General features: G+C 40.1%; 1 long non-coding RNA gene across 1 annotated transcript, besides 1 other annotated feature; it reads left to right on the forward strand.

The window, feature by feature from the left end:
- The first annotated feature begins 254 nt into the window (after positions 1-254).
- On the forward strand, positions 255-4637 carry LOC124907910 (uncharacterized). Its single transcript, XR_007087314.1, has 2 exons — positions 255-798; positions 2625-4637. It is a non-coding gene; the product is annotated as an uncharacterized LOC124907910 (long non-coding RNA).
- Positions 3467-4666: an enhancer, noted in NCBI's record as "CDK7 strongly-dependent group 2 enhancer chr2:177453489-177454688 (GRCh37/hg19 assembly coordinates)". NCBI's record gives its function as "activates an origin of replication core promoter dependent on BRD2, BRD4, P300/CBP, MED14 and CDK7 cofactors, with strong dependence on CDK7, by STARR-seq in HCT116 cells {active_cell/tissue: HCT116}" and the evidence as "EXISTENCE:reporter gene assay evidence [ECO:0000049][PMID:35650434]".

Raw genomic sequence — 8369 nt, forward strand, 5'->3', positions numbered from 1 at the left:
AAGTTTCCAATACTTAACTCACCTTACAGCTGAAGGCTTGTACCCTTTGACCAATATCTTCCCAGTCCCTCCACCCCTCAGCCCCTGGTAGTGAACATTCTACTTTCTGCTACTAGAAGTTTGACTTTTTTTTTTTTTTTTTTAGATTCCACATATAAGTGAAATCATCTGGTATTTGTCTTTCTGTGCCTGGCTTATTTCACGTAGCATAATGTCCTCAAAGTTCATCCATGTTGTTGCAAATGGCAGGATTTCCTTCTTTTTTTCAGGTTGAGTAATAGTAGAATGGTAAATTGTAGTGGGTGATCCAGCTCTATAATTTTAAAAAGTTTATTTTTTAAGATATGGTCTCATTACTGAAATTAGAGTCTCTGTAGAATGGGGAAGCTTTGAAGGACCCATTCATAGGGTCAATAAAAAACAATGGGCCACTGATATCTCTACATCTTTTATAGACAAACAGAAAAAATAGGGACTATCATAAAATATATATGTATGTGTGTATATATATATATATATGTATATATATAGGTTAATCATATCTCTAAAGTACTTTAAAGAAAGCTATATAGAGTAAAGCTTATCATTTGCAGCTGTTAAAGAGGAATGCCTGCAATGTGAGCAGCCCAGTTTGAAGATAATGGATTTATGAGTTGCAGGAAGCAAAATGTGTGATCGCTTGGGCCAGAATCTGTTAAGTATCATGTTGCTATTTCTCCCCTTTCTTCCCCATCTTAGGTCACATCTCAAATATGAACATCACCCAGAGGTTACCCAGGTGATCCCAGGCCATCTCGGGTATGCAGCTGTGCAGAACTTGATCTTGAAGGACAGATGGCATTAGGGGGAGTTCTTTTATACCTTGCACTGACCAGGGCTAAGTTTCTGACATTTCTGTCTGCAGACAACAAAAGGCTTTCATCATGAGCTGCTTTCTGATGCGTGCTTAAAACCAAGTTGAACGCATTAAAAGGGCGAAGAAGCAGAAATCTACTCGCTGTGCTCTGTGAAGAATTAAATAAAATTTTGATGGGGGTCGAAGGAAGGAGAAATAGATTTTAAAAAATCTTTATGCTCTCTCCTCCAAAAACTTGGATTTAATGTGTATTTTGGGCTAATTCTAATTCTCCATTCATGCCAATACACATTAAATCCTATATTTTCTTTAAAAATAGACATTTTAAATAAAATGTTTAATGCAAATTACATTTAGCTGAGTTTGATCTCCCTTTCTGATTCGAATAATATTATGATTCTTGCAAGCCCAAACCTTCCCTTAGCAAAATTTAATGTTACCGGGATGCGGTATGCTTTCATGAATTCCCCTCCAAATTTTTCCTTTTTCAGCTAGAATATTTTCTCAGACCTCCTTCTCTCTAATGTTACTAAAATCCTTTGAAGTATTATCTAATTACAGAACTAAGACTTAACCATGTCCTTTTCAGGAAACTTAAAATAACTCTTTTATCCTTCTAATTTAGTACTTTATTCCACCATATATCCACACCAGTCCTTCTGACCCATCATATTTCTGAAAAGTACAAGGCAACATTTCTGAAATTTAGTTATTAATTGTATTACATAGAGGCTATATGCGTGAGTGAAAAAAATAGTGTTATAATAACTAACATTGCTTGAGTTACACGACTGTCCCAGGAATTATTCTAAGTGCTTTATGTGCATTTTTCATGTAATCATCACAATAATCTGGAGGAGATAGATCATATTCTTATTATCATCCCCATTTTCCAGATGATAAAGCTAAGGCACAAAGAAATCATGAGACTTTTGTAAGATCACAGGACAAGTCAGTAAAGGCAGGATTCGAACTCAGGTTGTCTGGTTGGATCATTCACATTTTTATCCACTTTTCCATGCTTCTCAGAGTGATCTTACCATTTGTTTTGAAAGCTCTATTCAAGGCAGTGTGTAGGGTGGATAGGACACTGGACCAAAGACCAGAAGATGGGCCTTTAACCTGATTTTTTTTCATGAATTGGTTGCGTAAACTTGGACAAATCAACACCTCTGGAAAAAACAGTAGGCAGAATTCATCACATTAAGTCCTTTTATAAGCATCTTATTTATTTTCAGTAAATAATGCTGTCAGTGGGAGGCCATCTAAGCAGGGCCTTTAGGATCAATATTGAATGCGGATTCTAGGGTGAGACACTCTGGTTGACACAAGGCTGTGGTTGATGTGGGACTTCTGGGTTGAATCCCTACTCTGCCTCTTACCAGATGTGAGATAGACAAGTTAATCACACTGCCAGAGCTTCTGTTTCCTCATCTATAAAATTCAGATAATAAAAAACGTTCACCTGAGAGAGTTGTTGAGGATACTTGAAGAGTTAACCTTAAAACACTTAGCACAGCATCCATATGCTTTGCTGTGTGATCCTGTGAGGTTACTATTACCAGCTCCATTATACAAATGAATAAACTGAGGCAAGGCCTAGAGAAGTTAAATAACTTGTCCAAAGTCATTCGTCTTGTAAGTGGTGGAGTCAGCATCCTAACTCAGGCAGATGAGCTTTCAATGAACACACCATCTTTCTCCCAGGACTAGGAGGAAACTTTATGTTATCTATTACCTGACTGTTTACTAACTGTTTGTTTTCCAGGATGTCCTCCACATTCCACAATTCAGTAGCCAAAGGATTGAACTGATACCTGCAGAAGACTTCCTGGATTCCCTCTCCAAGACCCACAATCCACTATGATTGGATAAGGCCTACCCTCTAATTGATCAGTACTACACACACACACACACACACACACACACACACTCACTCACCAAGGCTTGGTTTCCTTTTCTAAAAAACAAAAGAGGGTAAAGGAATGCCCTCCCAAGTCTCTTTCTAAAATTTTCAAGTTCTACAGGCTCAGTAGGCATCCAGCCTCTCAGCACTACCCTATGTCCCCTATGCCCACGTAGATAAACTTGTTTTAATAAAAGCTAACTTCCGATTTAGCACACAGTATTAAGAATTAAAGTTGGATGAAGCTATTACTGTTACGAATAGCCTTGGGCTATTTTTCAATTCACCTATGTCATACGTCAAGTGATTAAGAAAATCAAATGCTGTATCCAGGAAAATAGAACATGAAAAGGCAGGAATAATGTGTGTCTTTAGGACACCCATTTGAACACAAAAGAATTAGGGCCCAAATTTCACTATATGTCAAATGTGAATTTATTTCTATAAAAGGCTTCAGAACTCTCTAAGCTTTGCATTGTCTGAAGAGTGCTACAGAGCCATCTGTGACTTGTAGTGGTTGCATCCAGATCTTTGAAAATGCTTTTTCTTCTTAATCAAGTTAGGATATTGGATTTCCAGAAGAGTAGGATCTCTATATTTTGATACTCGCCTGATTTCTTAAAGCTCCTAAAGGTGCCTTTTGACTTCCTAACTGATTCTAACAAACACATGGCTTCAGTCTATCTGGCTTCCCCTTTGTCTAAGAACACTGACATTAGGAGTTGCCAATTGGCACCTCTATGTGGACACCTTCCACCCAGAAACCATGTTGAGTTTTCAGGTTTCACAATGATGCTGATTTGAGTCAGCACTGTTGGAAATGAGGGTCTTTTTAAAAATGCTTCAGATTCCCAGTTATTCCTACCTTTGTCTCTTCAGTCCTCAACATCCTCTGGGGCAAAACTAGAGAGCTGCACTGTTTCTGTGTGAGGTGAACCTGCGTCCACAGAGGAGCAGCACTCACGTTCCCCACTCAAGACCTGTGTAATTTATTTGTAGCAAAGCTCCATCCTTAATTCACTATTATCTTGTCTTTCTGGCATCCTCCTTCCCTCTGTGCTATGCATGTTGGGGTCGGTGAGGGGAGCAATGACCCAGAGAGGGGCATCTTTTGCATGGCAAAGTCCTTTGGATGAGCTGAGGATTCCCATCTTGACTGAAGTTTTCCAGTTTTTAAATCTCATCTTTCATTTTGTGATGCTTGATAAAGATAGCAAAGTAATATGAGTTAGTAAATGTTAACACGTGCCGCAAATACAAAAGCAGTTTATTCTGTCATTGATAATGGAGGAAAATATGCAATAATAGTATTGAATTTGCACTCATAGGTAAAAGCCTTCATTGCAAAGCAAAATCTGATTTTTGTTTGTGACCAGCATGAATGCTGACCTCTGCCCTTTGAATGATCTTTCCGTCTCCCGGAAAGTTCATGAAAAGGTCATGGAGCTGCGCTGACTTCCTCTGTGTGTGCATGGACGTGTCTTTGCTATTGATCCAGGAAAAGACCATTCTGTGGTTTTGTTCATTTTATTTTTAATGGAAACCTAATCAGTAATTATAAAATGTTTCTAGAAGAATTCACGCCTGAGTAAGTGAAGAAAGCTAACCTCATTTCATGCTGATTATTTAACCTTGGTCATAACTCCCAATTAAATGCATTTCTTGAACCCGTAACAAAGCAAAATATGGCACTTACTGGTCAGAAATTCAAAGCAGGAGAGAGAAAAAATGGCTTAATAGCTGGAAATAAAAACATCAGTGAATTTTTCTTATGGATTCCTTCATGTCAAATTCATATCATGAGTGACTCGCAGTTTTCCCTTTAGATCATCTTGGCATCATCGAGGAGCAAAAATAAAAATGATTTCTAGTATATTCTTGTGGTGATTCCTTCTTTTGATGCTGCCTGTCACTGTAAAAAGGGTTATGAATCTCTGGAAACCTGCTGTACTGTCGGCAGCATAGGCACCAGTTTTCAAATCAGACGTCAGTAACTGGAACAGTTGGAGGGTTTTAAATCTCTACGAGAAAACTATTGCCATTTACAAACAACAAGGATTGTACTGAAATGGTGAAAAATGCACTTGCGTCATATTTAGAATGATTGTGTGTGGGAGGATATAACAATACTTTTCAGGACTGTAAGCCATACGTATATTCATATCTTGTGCTATTTATCTTGTAGATATACAGCGCTGGGAGTTCTCTACTGCTAGCTGTTAGGCTCGTAGCATTGAGGAGGAAAGATCCCAAGGCTTGTCACTGCCGTATATCACTGCAGCTGTGCCCTTTGATTACACTGGGGCGCCACCAGTCATTAATAACAGGGAAAGCTTTTTGTCTGGCAAATGCATCACTGTACAGTCTTTTCTTAACACCTAGGCATCTTGGTGCGGTAGCAAAGGTAAATTAAAGATGAAGCTTGTTTATTTTACAGCCACACTTGTGAAAATAGAGGTGGCCTTTCCAGAACCATTCAGGAAAATGTATTTTTCCCTTGCCTTGTAAAATTGAAATATTTTCATATTTTGCATTTGCTGAAGGGAATCCTGTCATTAAGTCACTCAAACAAACAATTTGAGCACAATGTAGTTATGATTTTAATTCCATCACTGTCACACTCATTTGGCTACCAGAGGGTTACAAAACAAGCTATCATCCAAGACAACAATTACTGTATAGACTTAAAAACCCAAATGTGTTCCTGGTTGAAGATTCTTGAAGAGCATAATGTGAATGAAACTTGCATAGAATGTTTTCCAAATGCGGAAAAAACAACACAGTCAAACTTGATGCTTACTGAATGTGTGGCTTTGAAAGGCTGATGCCAGAGGCCTGTTTTCTAGGCAGTAGTGCTTTCCTATCAAAAGTAATCCCGAAGCTGACCAATTTCTGAGAAGCCTGATCCACAGTAAACTAACTCACAAGAAATGGGTTTATAAATGCCACCTCCCTATGTCAAATGTTGTACTCTTTTTTTTTTTTTTTTTTTTTTGAGATAGGCTCTCTCACTCTGTCACCTGGTCTGGAGTGCAGTGGTGCAATCACAGCTCACTGCAGCCACAAACCTCCTGGTCTCAAGAGATCCTCCCACCTCAGCCTCCTGAGTAGCTGGGATTACAGGTGCACACTATAGTTTTCATTTTTAAGGCAAATGACACTGAATTCCCTATGATGTTCATTATATAAAGTTTATTTTAAAATAATGTTAGGGAAAGAGGCAGTCTATTTAGAGAACATTATTAAGGAATTCAAAGTACAGAATAGGTACATGGTTAGGACAAAACACCATGATTGGCATATGCAAATTACCAAACTATTTACTAAAGTTTGGACAACACTATTAATCAACTTTAAAAACTGCCAGGATAATCATTCTAAAATATGAATTAAATCCCATCATTGCCTCTACATAAAATTGCTCAGCAGTGTTCCAGTATCTACAGGATCTGATGCCTGCCTCCTCTTCCAAACCTATCTCTGTCCTCAACCCTACTCACAACCAAATTCTGCCCCTTCTGTGAGAATGCCACTCCCTCCCCGAGGGTTCCTCCTTACCCCTTACCCCTCAAGACTCGACTCAAATGTGAAGACTCCAGCCCTCAACCCAAGCATTCAGGGCTCATTTGGTCACTATCCAAGGGTTCTGGGCTAAAAGCGGTGGGGACCTCAGGTGAGGATGGAGCAGTCCAGGAGTCAGGTAAGATGCTTCAGTGGAAATCACAGAGGTCTGCTGAGGTCAGCAAAGACTGATGTCTCCCCAGCATCCCTCCTGCTTCAGCCTGCTTGGTGCCTATGCTGTGATTGACTGTTTAAACCAGCCCTGGGGAAGACTGTGGGAGGAAGTAGGAAGGTTTGAGGGTCCTGTCTAATCCGTAATCAACCCTGGGCTGTAATATTTGCAAAGACCTTGAGGAGAAACCAAAAGTTAAGGCAGAAGACCCGTCAGAGAACCAAACACACAAGATGGGAATTGAGTGAAGAGGCTGCACCTTAGGCATCAGTGGGTAACTGAGTCTCCATTCACTCTGAGTCCTAGTGAGGCTGGACCTGCCAGCCAGTTCCAGGTCCTGTGCGAGCTGGAGAAGCTCCCCAGATGTGAGGGAGACCTGGTTGTTATTGGCCCCCACCATGGTGGGGCTGGGCCTAAAGAAGGCACAGCACAGTTAATGACCTTTGAGATCCCATCAAGGAGAAGCAATGTGTTCCCCAATAGGATTCAGGATAGATTTCCAGATAAGAACAGGATAAGCTTCCCAAAGCCAGGGGCTTATGTTTTAGAGCAGAGATTTCTTCTTCTTGGTGGTGATCACAGAGAGAGTGGCAATAAGCTAGGCCTGGTAAGATGTTAGTACTTGTATGACGTCAGCGGATGGAGCTGGGCAGGAACAAAATCCCTGTGGATAGAAAGGAGACAGCAAAGATATGGGGGTGGGAAAGCACGCGGTGAGGGGGAGATTTACTTAGAAGAATTCAGGCCTGCAAGCTGGGGAAATTGGGCCGTAAAATTGGCATTGTTTTTTAGAATAATCACATAATTTTCTCGTTCTGGAGATTATCTTGACCTGTTCTTAATCTCCAGAGGAATTCGCTGCTTATGTATCCCTTCTTGACGCCAACCCCCTGTCAGTAACTGAGATTCAGTGTGTCCATGATCCTCAATAAGGGAGGAGATGCAGTGGTGGTGGTGGGGCAGGCATCAGCACTGATGAGTGGAGATTCTACTTTGAAAAGGTTTTACTCCACTGCAACCCTAGATGGTAATCAGTCAATTCCTGCTCTCAAGAGGAACAACCACTGGATGCTGGAACTTAGTTTTGGTCAAACATAGGGTTGCGCTGGATAGTATTTAAGATTCCTTCTGAGCTCAGATTCCAGGACTCTCTTCTCAAGGCTTGTTCATGCTGACAAGGTCATCTCCAAGTAGATAATATTTAAAGGAGCTAGAAATGTTTCGATTGAACTAGAAGAGTAGCTGCCACTTTTTCCATCTCACAATAGAATATTGATATTAGCCACTTTGAGAATGAATTATAAATCATTCCAATAACTATGAATTATATATTTATTGTGTACATGGAAGGCTGTGTGATATAAATGGGTATGACATGGCCCCTTACCTTGAGGGACTCTCAATGTGGTGAGACTAATATTTAAACACACAAATAGATGTGGCAATGTAACACAATGGTTGAGAAGGTGGGCCCCAGACACTGTTACATTGCTAAATATTTAACAATAACAACTGTTGATCTGAAAGAGAATTGTGGGAGGAGGGTACGCTGGTGTGTAGTTCATGCCTATTTCCATGGTGTAAATACTCTCACTATAGCTTATTTCAAGCTACCAACTTGACATCACTGAATGGAGAGTTAGAAAGAGATCCTAATAATAGACTCTCTAATGCTGGTATGAACTGGCTCTGGTGATAACCTATCTGGTCTTGAGTCTCAACTCTGGCATGTACTACTGTAGTCTCCGCTTTGTAACTCCTTTATCCTTTAGCACCATCTGGAAAGTGGGATGTTAGTGGTGCTTTTTCATAAGTTCATTTGAGGGTTCCATGTAAAGTACTTAGAACAGTGTCTGGTGCATGGTCTCAGTAAG

This window comes from Homo sapiens, chromosome 2, assembly GCF_000001405.40.
Source record: "Homo sapiens chromosome 2, GRCh38.p14 Primary Assembly".
In the NCBI taxonomy this organism is placed as follows: Eukaryota; Metazoa; Chordata; class Mammalia; order Primates; family Hominidae; genus Homo; species Homo sapiens.